The sequence below is a fragment of the Homo sapiens genome, chromosome 20 (genome assembly GCF_000001405.40).
Source record: "Homo sapiens chromosome 20, GRCh38.p14 Primary Assembly".
In the NCBI taxonomy this organism is placed as follows: Eukaryota; Metazoa; Chordata; class Mammalia; order Primates; family Hominidae; genus Homo; species Homo sapiens.
The window spans coordinates 13111542-13130340 of record NC_000020.11 but is presented as its reverse complement, the minus strand read 5'-3'; the positions used below and the strand labels follow the sequence as shown (position 1 = coordinate 13130340).

Sequence of the window (18799 nt, the reverse complement as noted above, 5' to 3'; positions counted from 1 at the left end):
GGCTCAGAGCCCGGCTTCTCTTTCTCAGATCCTGTAAGGCAGCTCTTGCATGAAACAGTGCATCCTTTGAGCTCTGGGCAACTTTACCCTGAGAGTGAGTCTATCTCTGCAGAAAGGGGTGAGCTAATGCAATATTCCTAACCTGTCCTGCTCATTTGATTTAAAGCAGCCATTGTTGCAAATGAGGCCAGTGTGATCATTCACTGTATGACTTTCACTGCTTCAAAAGATGTGTCAGGCAGAACTACCTGAAACTTGGCTGATAATTCTGTCAATTTTCTTTTTCTTCTACTTTCCTTTGTTTCTTTGAAAATAAACTGTCCTATATTTCTCCCTCATTCTCCTATTTTGCCTCTAAAAAAACCAGACCATACACATAGCATTCTCTGTTTTTTTTTTCTCTCTTAAGATGACAAGAGGAGTAAAGTGAGAAGCTTTAAAACTGAGGTTAAAAAAGTAACCAAAGAATTCTTTAGGTATAAGGCTAAGAGAGAGAAGCAAGGGAAATATCTACTACCTCAGGGGAAGAAAAATTGATGGCAGATGATTACTGAGGAGCAAATGCTCATGTCTTTAATGTAATCTTTCTGCAGATCTTCCACTGTGATCAGATCAATAGAGCAAGTTTTGTCTGTGATGAACCAATCGGAGGAGGGAAGGACATGATTGCAAAGTTGCATACATGTAAAGCAACTGATTCGGATGACATATAGACCAAAGGACTCCGGAAATGAGTGAAAATTTTTGTTGAGACACAAGCTAATTTCTAGAATAACTTTTTCCTAGTCACTTGTCTTTAAAACAAGACCAAAGAATAATTCTAGTCATTCTGAGACAATTCAGTTAACTTGCATTTTTGCTTAAATCTCAAATAATTGATTTTCCATTAAGAAACACTTGAAGTTTAAGAAGAGAATTAATATGGCTTTGTGGGAAGCCAGTAGTTCCAGAACAGTTTTTCATACAGCAGAAAGCTTGTGGAGGAAAAGATGCCACTCTATCTCGCTTCAATGTTAAAAGGTTAAAAGATACCTGTTTAAGACAGGCACAGTGGCTCACGCCTGTAATCCCAGCACTTTAGGAGCCTGGGGTGGGCAAATCACTTGAGGCCAGGTGTTCCCGACCAGCATGGCCAACGTGGTGAAACCCCGTCTCGACTACAAATACAAAAATTGGCCAGGTGTGGTGGCTCGTGCCTGTAATCCCAGTGCTTTGGGAGGCCGAGGCAGGCAGATCACCCGAGGTCAGGAGTTTGAGACCAATCTGGCGAGACCCCATCTCTACTAAAAATACAAAAATAGCCAGGCATGGTGGGGGACACCTGTAATCCCAGCTACTCGGGAGGCTGAGGCAGGAGTATTGCTTGAACCCAGGAGGCGGAGGTTGCAGTGAGCTGAGATCGCACCATTGTACTCCAGCTTGGGTGACAAGAGCGAAACTCTGTCTCCAAAAAAAAAAAAAAAAAAAAATTAGCTGGGCATGGTGGTGCATGCCTGTTGGTGCACACCTGTAGTCCTGACTACTCAGGAGGCTAAGGCAGGAGAATCACTTGAGTCTGGGAGGTGGAGGTTGTAGTGAGCCAAGATCATGTCACTGCCCTTCAGCCTGGGTGACAGAGCAAGACTCTGTCTCAAATTTTAAAAAAACCCAAAAAACAAAAAAGAACCTCCTCCCCCTCCAAAATAAAAGGTACCTGTTTATCCAATGTCTGTATCCCTTAATTTACCCCTACCTCTTTTCAGGGGTGTGGCCATATGACTAGTTTTAGCCAATAATTGTAAGCAAGGTGATAAGAGTCACCTCTAGGCTGACCCTCTCTTTCTTTTTACCTTGGTAACCATGGGGGCCATGTGTTGAGATGATGAACCCTTAAGGTGAAAGCAGCCTGAGTCACTGTCTTCAAGGACAAGCACTGTGTAGAGAGTTGACTGATTGGTATTAGATGTGATGCAAACAAGAAATACCTTGGTTCTGTTAAGCCACTGAGATCTACAGGGTTTATTTGTTATGGTGGCAAAACCTCCCTTATCCTGACTAATCCAGGATCTTAGAGGACATCTAGTCCTACTTCACTTCTGTCATAAGGATGCTTCCTACAGCATCTCTGAGAAATGCTTCAAATACTTGTCGATCACCTCAGAAACAACAGCAAATAATAGTAGCAAGCAATTATACAATGCTTACTGATACTTGTCTCCAGACACAATGTTAAATATTTTGTACAGATTAATTTGCCTACTTCTCACAAAAACCTTGGCTCATAAATATTGTTTTTCTCACTTCATAACTGGATGAATTGAAGTACAGAGAAGTTGAGTAACTTGCTCAGGGTTGAATAGATAAGTCACTCATCTAAGGCCACATACGAGTGAATAGTATCACAGGAGCAGATTCAGGCAGCTACCTTCAGTCTCATACCATAAGGGCTTCCTAGACTGGACTGTCGTTTTCTTTTCACAAAGACCAACCAATAGGATGCAGAGTCATAACACCGAAAAGGCAAGCCTGGAAGGGATCCTAGAGATCAGCCAATCACCGCATTTCATATGGAGGAAAAAATATCCTCCTGCAGGCCTTTACCCTGCTTTAGTGAAAAAGAAAAAGTCTTGTCTTTCAAACAAGTGTCTTGGGGAGCACTAGGGCTCAGTAGAAGGGCCCCAGGGGGTATCAGTATGGGGGTAAGTGAAGACACTACTTTAACTAGATCAGCCTTGTTCTTATCTGTTTTATATAGTAGGCTTCTAGCAAAATTTGTATGTGAATATTCTGCTGCTTTAATAATATTGAAAACTGATGGAGTACCCCATACTTCTACTGAAATAGCAGGCTTGAAGCATTGCATTAAACAATGTAGGACTTCAGGTCAGCTGGGAGGTGGGGTGAGGCACATAGATTGTACAGTCCAGTGGCCAGGATAAATTGCTACTTCCATAAATGTGCTCACCAGTTTGCCTGGCAGCAAGAACTGCCTTATTCAGCACCGTATCCCCTCTGGTGTGTGACATGTGGTAGAATCTGTATAAACCATCTCTGCAAGATGGAGGGAGAGTTCCAAGAGGCTTTTATGAAACAATTTTTCAAAAAGAGGATTAATTTGGGTTGAGCAAAGTAGCACAGTTTAGCTCTGGTCCCACTGACAAAGAAATGGCTGGAAGCTTATTGTGTGTGTTTTGTCTATATATCCTCAATGGCCAGTGGTGGCCTTCCACTGTCCAACCTCTGGCTATAAAAAATAAAAGGATTGAAAAATTGGATATTAAATTGGCTACTTTGGTCTTAGGGAAACACAAGTGACAGCCCCAAGCAAGCACAGGCAAACATGTGCACGCTCACGTGCGCGCACACACACGCACACAAACAATATTTGCTTAATTTCAACAGAATTGATCACACAAAATTATCGAAATTTGCTGTTCACAATGAGGTAAATTAGAAAGTTTTCTTTGCTTTAACAAAGGGTTTTTGTATGGTGTGCTAACGGCAGTTTTGTGCATTTATCACATGGCTTGATTTACAAATAGGGTTCTATAAGATAAAGGTGTGTATTTGAGAAGCGGGGAGATTAATGAGGCAGAAGGGAGACAGAGAGGTCCAGGAGCTGTGCTCTCTGCAGATCCTCTTACCTTGAGTGGTCCCATCCAGTCCCATGATAAGTTTTAGTGATCTGATGATTTGCTCTGCTATCGGTGGGCTCATGGATGAAGCATAAACAGCACTATGCGAGTGAACCCGTAAATAATCCACGAGGTCCTTAAATAAAGAGGGGAAACCCAAAAAGAAGGCAAATAAATCTCAACACTGGTGGTGGGAATTACATCTAGTCCCATCCCTATCCTCATAGCAAAAGACATTTGATCTCATGCTCAAAAGATGAATGGGGTCCAACTTTCAATGGTTTTCATCAAACTATTTATTTTTTCTATTTCCTTCATAGTCTCTCCCTCAAAAACCTAGAATCTACAGCAAAGCAGGATGCTGCAGGTTTGGAGTTGAACTTTAAGGCAAAACCAGATGTGTGAAGAAAAAATGATTCCTGAAGCATTTGTTGAGTACCTACTATGTGTGAGCACTGACTTTGTGTTCAGTGCCCAAAGAATACAGGATGTGGTCCTTGCCCTTGAGAATATTACATATGATTGTGCCCATGAACAAGCATGGTAGAATAAGTCACAGTCCATGCAAACTAGGACATGCAACAGGCCTGCAAGATGCAGAGGAAAGAGAGAGGGTCCTTCTAGCTGAAGTAGTTAGAGAAGGTTCCAATGAGGAGATATGATTAGGCCTTGAAGAATGAAGATAATTAAGGGGGAAAAGAAAACGTGGAGGGAGGGTGGCAGAAGAGAGAAGTTGAACAAAGGAACAGAAGCAAGAAAGCAGAAGGCATGTATAGCAGTGTTTACAAAAATAGCTGTAATTCTCTCACTGTCTGTACCCATGCATCTTTGCAATCCAACTTCGCAGTTGCTTCCATCAAAAGGCGGATTAATCTGGGCTGGCCTTGTGATTTTCTTTGTTCAGTAATATATGGCAGAGGTGATGGTGTGGTGGTTCTGGGTCTATGCCTCAAAATGCCTTGAGTGCTTTTGTCCTCTCAGAACTCTCTCCAGCTGCTATGTGAATAAGCCTGAGCTAGCTTGCTGGAGGATGACAACCATGTGGAACAGAGAAGGACCATTCCAGCTGAAGCTACCCCAGGCCAAGCAGTGCCCTGCTGACTCAACAATGGACTGTTGTACAGAAGCAAGCCCAGATGAGACCAAAAGAACTCCTTAGCTGAGCCCAGCCCACATTGTTGATGGGCAGAGTTTTAAGCTAAATAAATGGTGGTGTTTTTAGACACCAAATTTGGGGGTGGTTTGTTACACAGCAAAAACGAATGGAGGCAGCATGTTTGGAGGACAGCAAAGGACAGTTTGAGTAGAGGCTTGTGGGAAATTAAACCAGAATATTAGGACCAGATAAACTCTGGTTATGCCTTTGGCAGCAGAGAACTATTGGAATTTTGTGTTTTGTGTAACACTCTTTGGAATGCTGAGCCACTCCAGAATGCTGGTTTTCAGTGGTAGGAGCCATTTTTCACCTGTATGCCTGACTCCTGAGGCCAAATATAAGGTCCCAAGTAAGCTTGCTGAAAGCCCTAAGAAGCTCCAGTAATCTAATGCCGCAGTGGTGAGGGCCTCAGAGCTGGCATCTGCAGGTGCTCAGTTGGGTGGCAGAGACCCTCCATCAGCCCACCTATACAGTGTCTCATGGCCTGGGACTCTCCAAGTGTCCTGCAGAAAAGCTAATGGGCTGATGACAGGCCTCTGCATTAGCAGTGGGGTCTTTAAAGGATCAGATGCCTTCTCTTTAGAATAACGGCACAGCTCAGAATCCCACTTAGGCAGGTGTCTTCGCTATGTCTTCCTTCCTCATGAAGGTGATTTGGAAAGAGCTCTTGGGAATCGAGATCCTCTGCTTTGGGGTAGGTTCATGTCCTCCTCACCCTCCTTCATTAGTCACATTCATTCCCACTTCCGAGCCTGGGCCTGGTCCCTGCCCATCACTTTTCCATCTCTCTTAGGTATGTGTGGGCATTGTTGCTCACAAGCATTTTCAACATTCACAGTTTCTCTTCCTCAGCACAGTGTGTGGCCTGCCTTACAGTGGTCGGTGAAGGTTAGATTAATGATGTGATGACTCTGCCTGGTCCATGAGGGGAACCAAGGGATGTGTTCTGTTCTTCCTGCTGTCTTCAATATGTCTTTCATTCTGAATCCCCCCCTTTCACCCGTCCTTCTTCTATGACTTCCTTTTTCCATCTTCTCCTTCACTTCAAACTATTCCCTTTGTTTTTTTGTTTCTTCCTTTCCTTCTAGCTTCCTTCCTTCCCCTTCCCTTCTACTCTAGTTCTCTCTCTTTTCATTTCAAATTCTTTATTTAAATCTGTTTCTTCTCTGTATTTCAAAGTATTTCCTTCCTTCCTTCCTCCCTCCCTTCTTCCCTTCCTCCCTTCCTTCCTTCTTTCCTCTTTTCTTCTCCCCCTCCCCCCTTCCATCTTTCCTTCCAGCAAGTATATACCAATAACCTTCTCTGTCCTAGACATGTGTGGGAGTCCAGGAGGGGAGGGAGGATAGAAAGGGACCATAAGGCTAGTCCCTGGCATCCATTATCCATTTATATAAATGAAATTAAGTTTCTGATGATTCTTTTATTTGGTGAGCCTCATGAAAAAAGCTGGGTGGGTTTTCCCCATATCTGAAGAGTATGTGCATGATGCTGGCCTGACTGAATTCATCAGCCACAGGGTATCCGGAAAGTTCACTTTGGAGTATCTGAGGTGCCTCAAAGAGACAGCAGCAGTCATTTGCCAGAGTAGCCACAGCCAGGGCTGTCCTTCACAGTGGCATGTTCCGTGCTCCTGAGGAGCAGCAGCAGGGATTGCCTTTCTCTATTGAGAGTGAATATCTCCCTACAGGATGCTGGGGAAGCCAATGAGGAGTGGGTGGGTGGGTCCTGGGAATTGGATGATGGAGGCTTACGTGGACCTGTGTCAGGAACAAGGTGTTTCAAGGGTGTGATCTGGCCATGAGGGATGGGGAGATTTGGATAGATGCAGAGGAGCAAAAAGGCATGGGCCTGTCCTAAAATTAGGAATAAGGATGGCATCTTATGGGCATAGAATGGAGGTGTCAATTGGGAAGAGAGGGAGAAGCCAGTGCTTCTGAGACAAGGGGATGAGGAACTGTCCCCTTGGAGGGAATATAACGCAGGAGTTACAGTGCAGCCTCTGATGCCCAATAGCTTAGATTCAAATCCTGGCTTTGCCACTTACTGCCGTGTGACCATGGGCCAGTTACTAAATCTCTCTGTGCCTTAGTTGGCTTCTCTGAAAAATTAGATCATAGTAATACTTACCTCGGAGTTTATGAGGATGAAATGGGTGAATACATATATGGGATGCTTAGAAAAGCATCTGGTACACAGTGAAACAGTGAATACCTGATGCAGTTGGTGACTTTTTTTTTTTTTAGACAGAGTCTTGCTCTGTCGGCCAGGCTGGAGTGCAGTGGCATGACCTTGGCTCACTGCAACCTTCGTCTCCTGGGCTCCAGCAATTCTCCTGCTTCAGCCTCCCGAGTAGCTGGGAATACAGGCGTGTGCCACCACTCCTGGCTAATTTTTGTATTTTTAGTAGAGATGGGGTTTCACCATGTTGGCCAGGCTGGTCTCGAACTCCTGACCTCTGGTAATCCGCCGGCCTTGGCCTCCCAAAGTGCTGTGATTACAGGCATGAGCCACCACGCCTGGCCGAGTATTGTTAATCAATGGCCAATTGAAAGATTCTTAGAACTGGGAGCATGGGGCGGGAGGAAGGGACCAAAATATAAAAGCTTCTTGGAGTGTCTCTGTTTCAACTCTCTCATTTTGCACAGGGTTACATTCTAAGGTTGTGTGACTACGCATTGGTAGACCCATACATCAAACCAAGGATTTTCAGCCTAACTCTTCCTCCATCCTTATGGGGAGGGGTGGCAGTAGGAGTGAAAAGAAAGGAAAAGAGAGACATTTTCAATAAGGGAGTACCCAGGCTTGATGACAGGTTGAATGACCCTGAAGAGATAATAAGGCTAGAAGCTAACAGCATAGCTGATATTCCCTGGTGGCCTGAGGTTCCATTTTAAGAACTTTGTATGCATTAATACATTTAAATTTCACAATAACTCTTTAAGGTAGGTACTGTTTTAATTCCCATTTTATAGACAGAACAACTGAATCACAGAAAAGTTTACACAATTATTCCCAAAAGGTGGTAGAACAAGGATTTGGACCTAAAGAAGCTGGCTCTGGAGCCCCACCCTTAGGCCACACTCGACTTCTCCAGACTTCTCCCCAGAAGAGTAAGCTTGGTGTGGTGTGAGGGGGTCCAGGAGAACACAGACCCCAATTCCACTCTCCTTACCCTGCGGTACTTTCCCTAACCCAGAGACTGTTCCTCTTTTTGGAGCAGGTGGGGAGTTCCTGATCTACTCATCTATATGGTACTAAATCACAGATTGAGTCACATTGGTCTCCAAATGTTTCATGTCTATCTCTCTTGTTTCTCCAAAAGGGACTGAAACTTCCTTGAGAGCAGGGATGGAGCTTTACACTTCTTTTAAAATCCATAGTGGTGGATACCTAGTGGTGGCCTGCTAAATATTGACCGTCTAATGGAAAACAGACGGGTTTTAGAGATGGAGGAAAGGTGGCCAGGGGCCTCAAAGCATATAGGGTATTACTCAACTGCATTCTCAGGGACAAGTGTAGCAATTGTCTCTTAGCTTGGGGACCATCACTGACAAAGATCAGACAAGGAAGTAAAACAAAACTTCCTTTGATCTTGAAAAGGGCTCTTCCCAATGTCCCCAACCCTAATTCACAGATTGAGACATTTTTTAAAGTCAAGGTCATGAGCCTTCTTAGTTTGAATAAATACCTCATCGGTGCAGCACTGGTTCTTTTTAATGTTAAGACTATCTTGCCCAAAATTTTATTTTTTTTGGACTGAGTTTGCTTTCTCTCAGGGTCTGAGTTTCTGGATGGAAGTTTATTTGCTTGTGTGTTTCAAAAAATGGAGCTCTTTGAGTAACTTCTGGAGAGTGTCAGGGAGAGCCTTGATTCCTGGCTACTAATTCCCCCTCTCGTTCCCCCATTGGGTGCTATGAGCCATGAGTTAAGAGGTGGCTTTGGTCTTTTGCAAGGCGAGTCTGGGTCGTGTCTTCTTCAGGGTGGGTTAGAGGTCTCCTCGTATCGAGGTTTCCACGTCCATTTGGAAGTTCAAAACCCTGATTGTTTTCTCTACACACAGGCCTGAAGTTCAAGGGCAAGGGTGGCCTTTTGGGAGGAAATCAGACAGGAGACTCTTAGAATAAACATCTTAGAGCTCACTCCCTGACCCCTGCTTACTTCAAAGGGATGTTAAATACAGCCAGGGCCTAGTGTGCAGGGCAGAGCTCACTTTTTAGAGTGACCTGGCTTTGGCTGGCATGCAGGCTTCTGGGGCTAATGCTCACCCCAAATTTGTCTGCCCTGTCCCAGTTCCCTTCTCCAGAATTCCAGCCCTGCAACCTATCAGTTACAAGGGCTACCATCGCTTCATTCATTTGCAAGTCTCTGGTCAGCCTGTGGAGGCTGTGGGAGCCAGTGTTCGGCACCAGGCATGCAGGTGGACTCAAGATCCTTGCCTGGGGAAAAGTTTGGGGTCTTCGGCATTGACCACATTTCCCAGCAACAGGATCAATACAAATGTGAAAGAATAAAAATAAGAAACCTAGTCCCATCAGCTTAGGCTTTCCTTCAAAGAAGCCATTCATGGCACGGAGCTCTGACAGGTGGAGAGAAGTAGTGATCTGGAATTTCATCAGGAAGGTCTTGAAAGGACAGACTCCTCCATGTTAGGCTGTTCACTGTGCATCTATAGCGGCTCCAAACCCAAAGTGAGCAAAACAGCAAAACTCTGCTGGCTCTGGACAGACTGTTAGCAGTTTCCTTGAGGTGGAAAGTGGGGATCACAGCCTGGCAGCAACTTCCAATTAGCAGAGGGGAATTTGTAGGACACTTTGTGAGGAAAAGGCTCTGAGATAAAAACAAAACCTCTGTTTCCTCTAGTAGTATCGTCATACTAAACCATTTTTTTCTCCTTGTTTTCAAATGTGTTTCATTACATGTCTCATCTGGTTGCTAATATATAAAACTCTGACCTTGACCCATTCCATAAAGATTTCCAGAACCTCCTAGACACTGTTACTGGGAATGCAGCCCCTCTATACCAATATTAACATCACTTAAAAAGAGAGTTAAGAGCCAGATGTTTTTATCTCTTTTTTCTAGATTTTTGGAGCTAACTGATTATTTTCAAATTTCAGGGTTTACTGAGAACCCTATGAGAACAGTGAAATTGAAATTATACACAGTTTCAGAAAAACAGCAAGTCTGAATGTGTGTACTTTAACTTTTTTTATGTTCAATTTTGTTGCTTTTGTATACATTGGTTTGGAATCCTAGCTATTTTGCAATAATCCCCGAATTTGAGATATACGGGAAGTATCTGGGAGATTATTCATCTGTCTATCAACTATCTATCTACCTATCTATCTGTCTTACAGTACAGTTATCAGAGTTTGAAAACTCTACTCTTAATTATTTAAACATACTAGTAGAAGTAGTTTTTTCAAACAAAAATCTTTAGTATTTGCCGAATCCTAATTTAAACAGACTCAAAGTAAAAATTCTTCACAAAATTATCTGAAGTTCATAGGAATAAAATATATGTTTGACTTGAAATTATACATAATGAAACTTAACATAATTAAAAAGAATTAAAGGTACAAAGGAACGGATACATAAGTTCCATCAAATCATGGGCTCATTAAGCCGAAAGGAAGCCAGTTTACCCAGGTTTATCACAGTCTGACCAAAATCATTCCACACAGGTGTGTATCTGACTGATTTTTAAGTCATCAGGGATACAGGCATTTTCTCAAATGCCCTCCTGCTCACCGCCCAGGTCTTGGAAACAGCCCCTATGTTTTCAAGGTTTTGCATCTTGCTGTTTTAGGGCAGATCTCAGCGTAGGCTAACGAATCTCTGCCAGACACGCTCTAATTCTTGCTGCCATCTAGTGGTAAATTTAGACACTGCAGTGTAACATGAAGGGAAGAGAAGACAGAGAAAGGTGGGGAGGAAAAAGGAGGGAGAGGAGAGGGAATGAACAATGCGACCCTCTGTATCCAAATATGCATAAAATGAGCATTTTAAGAGATAAGAAAATGAACAGATGTACATACTTTTTCTGCATCCCGATTAATGTAAATAATGGTAATTTTCACAATTGCTCAGTATCTATGCCAAATGAATAGAAATTGTGTGGACAAGAACGCCTACATCTTAAAAATACTCTAGCTGACATCAGAATGGAGAGCATGAGAGAGAATCATGGTGAACTGGTGTTTACTTCTGCTAGTCGCGAGCCTTTGTTTAAAGTGGGTATCAAATGAAGCTACTCTAGGGGGAAAAATGTGACATCCACCAAATTTGACAACATTTCAAGAATTGGCTTGCTTCGGTTTATTCAGGTGCCTTTGGTTCAGGAAGTAGAGTTATGCTTCGTTAAAAATTTTGTAGTTCAGAACTGCTGCTAAAGTAATCACAAAACCACAAGCTCACAGAGCAATGTAGCCAGGATCAGGGAGCTCCTAAATTTGAGACCCTCTGCTCCTACTGCTTCGACAGTCTAGGAAGGGAACATTTAACCTTTCACCAGATTTAGCTGAATTTTGTAAGATCCTGGGCTTTCCCAATGGTTTTAGCATTACCCAGCTGATTCCCACAGGCCAGTGAAGAGGGGATGAAAAACAATGCTTTGAGCCCGAAAGAAAGCAGTGCTTATTGAAGGGTAAAGGCCACTTAAAACTCTGAACATTTTAAGCATCTGTGCATTTCATGGCAGGGCCAGTGGCCAGAATTAAATCTGTTGTTTTAAATCATGAGCTTTCAATGAGAGGACTGTTTTCTGCTGCACTTCTTGGTTTGTCTAACTGGTTTACCAGAAGTCTGAACTCTTGTTCCTGTTCATCACAATAGGTAAGAAAGTGGGGATTTTTGTTGATACCACTTGCATGCACTGGTTTTGGGCCTGGTGTGGCATCCTAGGCTGAGCCAACATCACTGTCACATCTGCTCTTTGGGACAGGTGTAGGTTTGTCTGAGATAGGTGTCAGAATTTGGACAAGGCTATCCTCTCATTGTTCAGATAACTGGCTCCTTTATCTCTCAAACCCAGGTTTGAATATTGGATTTTCTTTGTCCCTTTCCTTTCCCTCCTTTTAAATTTCTCTCAAATATTTATTGTTTTTTTTTGTTTTTTTTTTCCACAAACCTCTTGGTGATATTGGCACTAGAATGACAGGGCCAACACTCACTTAACAGTCTAATCCCAGCAGATCAGAATTTTTAAGGCATATTGATAAGATATTGGAGAATGGCAGGATTTGACCTATGGTGTATGCAACATTATGGAAAGAATTTTTTTTGCAGAGAATATTTCTTAAAAGTACATTCCTGCCACCGTTTTGATTAAAACTCTTAAAACCCACAACTTGTAGCATAGGGTCAGCCTCCCTAATAACTAACATTGCCTACTGTTGCTATTATCTTCTTTGTGTTTTTTAATGCTTATAGTTTTCAGAACATCCCTTATCACTTCTGGCTTGGTATACATTATTCTCTCTGTGTGTTAAATATGGCCCCCCATTATTTGTCTACCAGATGGATATTCATTCTAAACCATGTCCTAGATACTACTTAACAGAGTTAATTATTCCTCTGCCTGGTACTTTGCATCTTATGTACACGGCCAGTGTTGCCATTTCATTATAGTGTGATCACTCATCACATGCTCCTCTTCACTATTCGAGGGAGAGCTCCTCGATATTCTGGGCCTTATCTGGCTGTGAACCCACTGTAGCCAGGCTGGAGTGATCAGCTGAGGTGTGGTGAACTGAATTGAAGCTTTCATGAAATTCAGAGAAGCCCTACACACGGCATCCCCAGGGCGCTCAGGTTTTAAACAGACACAAGCAGGCCCTCTCTTACCTTCCTTCCAGCTATGTAACCTCCTGAAGCTCCAAAACTTTTGGTGAATGTGCCCATGAGCACATCAACTTCATGAGGGTCTAGTCCAAAGAACTCCGTGACACCCCGGCCGGTTGGGCCCACGGCCCCAATACTGTGAGCTTCATCTATGTAGAGGTAAGCCTTGTATTTCTTCTTTAGAGCTATGATCTGGGGCAGATGCACGATGGAACCTTCCATGCTAGGGCAGAAGGAGAAATGCTCATAACTAACAAATACCCTCCTGGGAAGCTCTGTCAGTTTCCCCATCAATACATCCTAGACAGTCTTCCCTGACACACGCCATTCCTTTGTTCTGAAGGCATGTTTTATTTGGCTGAGACAACCCTTTCAATCTTGTAAGGCCACTTGGGCATTTCTATGCTACTTGGATAAAATAATTTACATTCAATGGATTTAAGTGCTTTTGGTTTCAGCTAATTCTCAAGCAAACAATCAGCTCACTGCATTATTGATCCAATTTATTTGTAAAGCCAACTGGTGTAACTAGACTGACCATTCTGGATTCTAGATATTCTGCTAGAATTGATTAAATTACCCTATAGTCATTCCCTTTATCAGCCTGGCATTGCCTTTTTGGCCAGGTCTGTTTGACTTAAATTTGGTGCTTGAATTGCCATAGATTAAAAGAGGGAATTAAAAAGACACAGAACTTTATTTAAGACATCATAGTGTTAATTAAAGTAAAATAGGAAGTCTTTGAGACCTCTTGTTCAATACCCACTTCAAGTCAAAGACCGAGGTGTCTCCTCTTTCTGTTCCTTTAGGGCAGAGGAACAGAAAGTTGAGTGAACATCAGAATCCTCTGAAGGATTTGTTAAAACACAGATTGCTAGACTCCTACCCCAGAGTTTCTGATTCAGTCGGTATTGGGTGGGCTGAGAACGTGCATTTTTGCCAAGCTCCCAGGAGATGCTGCCACCAATGGTTGCGGACCACATATAGAGGGCCACTGCTGTAGATGAACTCTTTTGTTTTAGCCCTAACTGTTTTATTTTTCATGATATTGTAAGTTGCAAAAGCACTTCAAGTCCTGTGATCTGGGACAGATACACGATAGAACCTTCCATGCTAGGGCAGAGACAGAAATGCTCTAAATTAACAAAGATCCTCCTGGGAAGCTTTGGTACATCCTCCGGCACAAAGGGAAAAAAATGTAGTCTATGAATAAATAAAATTAAAATTTCTATTTACATGGCACCTCTGGGACTCAATGGATTAAAAAAATCTGACAGTAATCAGTTCTCAGAACACTTTGCAAGCTGTGTCTATGTTGCACACAGTTTTGACTGCATTGACAGGCAAGTTGTACGAAAACACACAGACACACTCACCACACAAAGGAACTTGTCAAACAATTCAAACAACCGTTTAGGTTAGTTCAAGAGCTAATTCATTGAATCAAACAGAGTTGAACGTCTCCTTTTTCCCCTAATTATTTATTAGATTAAATTTAATGTATTAAAAAATAAGCTTAAGTGTTAGGTCGATTCAGTCAAAACAGTCCAGCTGGCTGTGTGCACAGTCACCCAGACCAACGGGTGTTGGTTTGGAGAGAGTATCATGATCACTGGGTGCAGCATTTGTGTGTTCCACGAGGTAGTTTTGGATGGCCGAGTTCAGATTTTAATGAAATAAAGGCCAAATACAGTTGTCTTTTCTTATGTAAGTTTGTGAGTTAATTCCAACATGTTCTTAAATTAATTGCTTGTTAAAATTGTTTCCATTGAGGGGAAGACAGTCTGGCCATCTGGCTGCCTAAGCTTACTAACTGTGAGCTTGGGCAATTTGCGTGATGTTCTCTGCTTCAGTTTCCTCATATGCAATACAAACAGGATGATGGGCCCCTCTTCACAGGGTCTTTATAACAATCACTTGAAATCATGCTTGTAAACTACCTGATCCATGATGGGCATTTAGTGAATCGTTACGGCCCTCAGGAGGAGGAGCTTAGGAGGAAATGGTTGCAACGAGTCCTAACTTGGGAAAGTGGGAGCCCTTGACAATGTTCTGTGTTGAATCTTATAGGAGCGAGGCATGTGGGTGTCATGCTGGATGTCATACATAATAAATGGCTGCAGGTCCTCAGAAATCTAGAATTTTCTTCTCTTTAAAATGTTATAAGTTGGTAACACAAATATGCCAAAAAACCTGACATGCCACAAATAGCCATTTTTTTGTTCTGGAACTGAATTTGACAGAAGCCAAAGTTAATGGCCCACAGTGTTTGTAGACACTGCGGGCAGCTAATTAACCATCCTTCCATGGGGCTGGTCTAGCTGATGTTAGGAGCCTGCCCACCTGGTTTATATTTCTTCCTCTAAGATTAATGACTCTACAATACTGCTGACTTTTGGAGTTAATGCAGGGCACACACAGAGTCCTAGGGAGAACTCAGCTTTTATAGAGTTATATTCACCCACACTAAGTTTTCATTTTCACAATGTGATCAAATTTGAATTGAGCCTTTTCCCACAGTGGGATATTGAGTCTAGCGCATGCATAAAAAGGCTATCTATGTTATTCCCATGAATTGCTGTCAAAAAACAGTGCCAAAAATGATACAGAAAACAAGAACAGCAATTTATTCTTTCTTCCTGAATGGAAGGTTGTGTTTTTCTTTTGACTTCAATAGAAGAAAAACAACTAAAACACGACTGTAGGTAAAGATAATTCCACGAGTTAATTTGAAGCTCTGTGCAGGGACTTGAATTATTCTTAAACCAGCAAGCCAGTGAATAATTCCTTTATATCTTTTCTATTACATAATGTCTTAGCTAAGTGAAAAGCCTCCTTTTTGAAATCTCCCTCTCACCACTTTTCCCTCCACATATAAACCATATTAGCCACTGGCAGATGGAGAATTAAACCACCGGCTAGCTAACTCACATGGTGGAAAAATCTCCTTGGTGGGCCCAAAGTGTAACTCAAAACAAGAAAGCAAGGTGGAAAGAGAGAAAAAGAAAGTTAAGGTCAATTAAAAGTAAAGTAACAAATGTTTTCTTATTCTTTTCTTTATTTGTTTAAACCATAGAGATACAGGTGACAGTTTACCACTGAAGTTCTCAATCCTTAAATTTACATTATTTTGAGCATAGGAGAATAGCTTACATTCTTAGAGTAAATGGTATTCTGAGGCTACAGCATATGTGCATATGTTTATATATGTATTTGTTTTAGAAGAGCTGACTATTATTCCTTGATTAATTTTATTTTGAAAGTTAGTGCTCCAGCTATGCTAGTTTATGTCCCAGGTTATTTGGGACACCACACCTCAAGGATATTTTTGAATAATTTTGAGATTCTCAACCACTATGAGTTGATAAGGGATCTAGACTTCTCAGAGACATGAAATTAGAAAATGTGATTTTAAAATGATACTTAATGAAAACATACAGTTCAGAACACTGAAATAATACTATTTTAGTTTTAAACCCCAAATCATGCATTCATGAAACTTTGGGTTTTACGTTTCAATGCCCCTGTGTTACAGATGAAGAAACTGAGGCCTAGATAGGTTAATGGTAAAGGTCAAATGGGTGATCTTGCATTTTCCATGTTTACTTCATTGGATGTGGACACATGGGCTGACTCTTCTATTTACATTGAGCCTTTGTCCCATCAGGGCCACCTGGTTTTAATCCCCGCTCTGCCTCATCTCGGTTATCTGTCCTGGGGCAAGTAATCTAAGCCTCGGAGCCTCAATTTCTTCATATTCACAATAACTTCAGGAATACTTGGAGGCTTACTCAAGGCTGCACATGGGAAATGTTTAGCAAGGAGTAGACACATGGTCAGTGTGAGTTTCTTTCTCTAACAGCCACTTTCTGGATGGAAGAAGAGCAAACAGCCTTGCAACATAGATGACTTATTGTTTTCTGAGTTGCAACTTCTTAGACTGAAAATCAATGTGACAATAAAGACAGCCACTCTTGGTTGTGAGCTTTCTATGGGCTGGGCCTCTGCCAACACTAGCTTATATGACCTCATTGAATATTTATTATTACCAAAGTACCCTATGGAGGCCACACAGATGTAGGTGGTGATGCCAGGATTTGAACCTAGGTCCCAGGCCTGCCTCCAAATCCTGACTCCTCTATATTCTACATATGAATAATAATACCTATGAATGGTGACATTATTATTATTAGTTTTGTGGAGTTGTCTGACTTCTCAGACTGGGTATCTAGCCTTTTCTATCTTGATATCTCCCTGAAACTTTCTGATTTGGCTGACTGCTCTCTTTGGGGGTTATGAAAAAATTGATGTATGTGGGCTCTGTGCTGATGTATGTGGGGGTGCTTTACCCATGGTGGCAGACCATAAGCAAGAGAAAAAATCTGGAAGTTAAAATTCAAAGGAGGCTTTGTGTAGGTACCAACAAGATATGCATTCCTAATATACCTCCGAAAAGTAGGAGTGCATTTGTGAACTATTGACTTCACATTCCTAACCCTCCTTTGGAAAATCCTACGGGAAATAATTTTTTGTTGTTGTTGTTGTTGAGACAGAGTCTCTCTCTGTCTCCCAGGCTGGAGTGCAGTGGCATGATCTTGGCTCACTGCAACCTCTGCCTCCCAGGTTCAAGTGATTCTTGTGCCTTAGCCTCCTCAGTAACTGGGATTATGGGAGTGCACCACCACACCTGGCTAATTTTTGTCTTTTTAGTAGAGGTGGGGTTTCACCCTGTTGGCTAGGCTGGTCTCGAACTCCTAACCTCAAGTAATCCACCTGCCTTGGTCTCCCGAAGTGATAGGATTACAGGCATGAGCCACTGCACCTGGCCTTATGGGAAATATCTGGTGATAGTTGCAAATTAGAACACCTGTATAAAGGCTTTTCCTTTGAGGTTTAAGGCTGTAGAACTCAACTCTAGGCTATCTTTATTTTACAGATGAGGAAATTGAAGCCCCCAAGAGCGATTGAGGCTTGTCAAAGAGATGCCCTGTTACCTATCTGTGAATGTGGCCTTTTAGGTCTTGGTCTCATTTAAAGTCAACATTCCTGTGTGGGTGAAATGAAAGGAACTTTCTTGTGAAGGAAAATTCTTGGAAAGTGGGGACTTCACTCTGTGTCATCACCAGGTTGATTGAGCCACTGTGGTGGATGGCTTCCAAAGATGGCTGCCTGCAAAGCTTCCCATCCTTATACATACAAGTGGATCCTCCATCAGGGGGTAGGGTCTATTTCACCTTCTTTTGAATCGGGGCTGGCCTCATGATGTACTTGAGCCAATGGGTCAGGGCAGAAGTGATAATGTCTCAGTGCCGGCAGCCTTTGCTTTTGCTCTGTTGGAAGCCAGCACCACGTTGTAAGGGAGTTCTGGCTAGACTACAGAATGAGAAGAGACTATCTATAGAGAAAGCTGTGTGGAAGAGAGCATGGCACTCCAGGTGAGAGCCAGTACCGAGGGCCAGATGTGCAAGTGGGGTAATTTTGGATGTTCCAGCCCCAGACAAAGTGTCAGCTGAATGAAGTGGCCTCCATGAGAGGCCTCCAACCAATGCCATGTGGAGTAGAAGAACTGCCCAGTTGGTCCACACAACCCACGGTAGCGTGGGAAATAATAAATCATTGCTGTGTAAGCCATTATGCTTTGGGTGGTTTGTTACATGGCAATAGGTAACTGAGCAGTCACTATTGCTAGTGCAACCAAAATTGTGGTTTGGTACCACTCTGGCTTGGAGCTGGAAGTCCACACCTGGGTCCCTTGTCCTTCTGAAGTGGTGGGATGCAGGCGCCTGGCATGGCCACTAAGAAGCCCTGCTGCTGGAGTTGTTTCTCTGTGTAGCTGATGGGAATATTTGCCAGTAAAATGCCAGTTGTCTACTTAATTTCAGCCATGATCAAAATGGTTAAGACCTAACTTTCATTTACTGGAGCCAAGTTCTATTTATTTGCAGTTGGGTTTTGTTTACTCTGCTTAAAGGAGATGCCCAGTCTGCTCTCTCTCAGCTGATCTGTGTTCCCACGAATCTAGGCCTGAATGACAGGTGTTTAGATAAGGGCTATTTGCTCCCCTCCCAGGCTGGCAGCAGGCACAAATCACACAGGGAAAAAGATCCATGCTTGAGGTTATGACAGCCCAGAGTCAATATGAGATTATTTCTTAAAATTGCAAGTTAAGGCCTACGAGTTGTCAGTT

At 42.6% G+C, this 18799-nt stretch overlaps 2 protein-coding genes across 7 annotated transcripts in view, besides 1 other annotated feature; one reads left to right on the top strand and one right to left on the bottom strand.

The window, feature by feature from the left end:
* The window catches only part of SPTLC3 (serine palmitoyltransferase long chain base subunit 3), a 160132-nt gene that overhangs the window by 38763 nt on the left and 102570 nt on the right, over positions 1 to 18799 (bottom strand). For 5 of the 6 annotated variants that reach the window (NM_018327.4, NM_001349945.2, XM_011529279.2 and 2 more), the window contains 2 exons: positions 12616 to 12835; positions 3624 to 3750 (listed from right to left, as the gene is read on the bottom strand). In NM_018327.4, the coding sequence (NP_060797.2) occupies positions 3624 to 3750; positions 12616 to 12835 (347 nt within the window). Of the gene's footprint in view, positions 1 to 3623; positions 3751 to 12615; positions 12836 to 18799 lie in introns of those variants that run through there. The other variant, XM_047440256.1, reaches the window with a different exon arrangement.
* The window catches only part of TASP1 (taspase 1), a 534161-nt gene that overhangs the window by 508592 nt on the left and 6770 nt on the right, over positions 1 to 18799 (top strand). The gene's annotated exons all lie outside the window — the stretch shown is intronic.
* Positions 8048 to 8097: an enhancer, noted in NCBI's record as "active region_17549". NCBI's record gives its function as "activates an Ori minimal core promoter by ATAC-STARR-seq in GM12878 lymphoblastoid cells {active_cell/tissue: GM12878}" and the evidence as "EXISTENCE:reporter gene assay evidence [ECO:0000049][PMID:35858748]".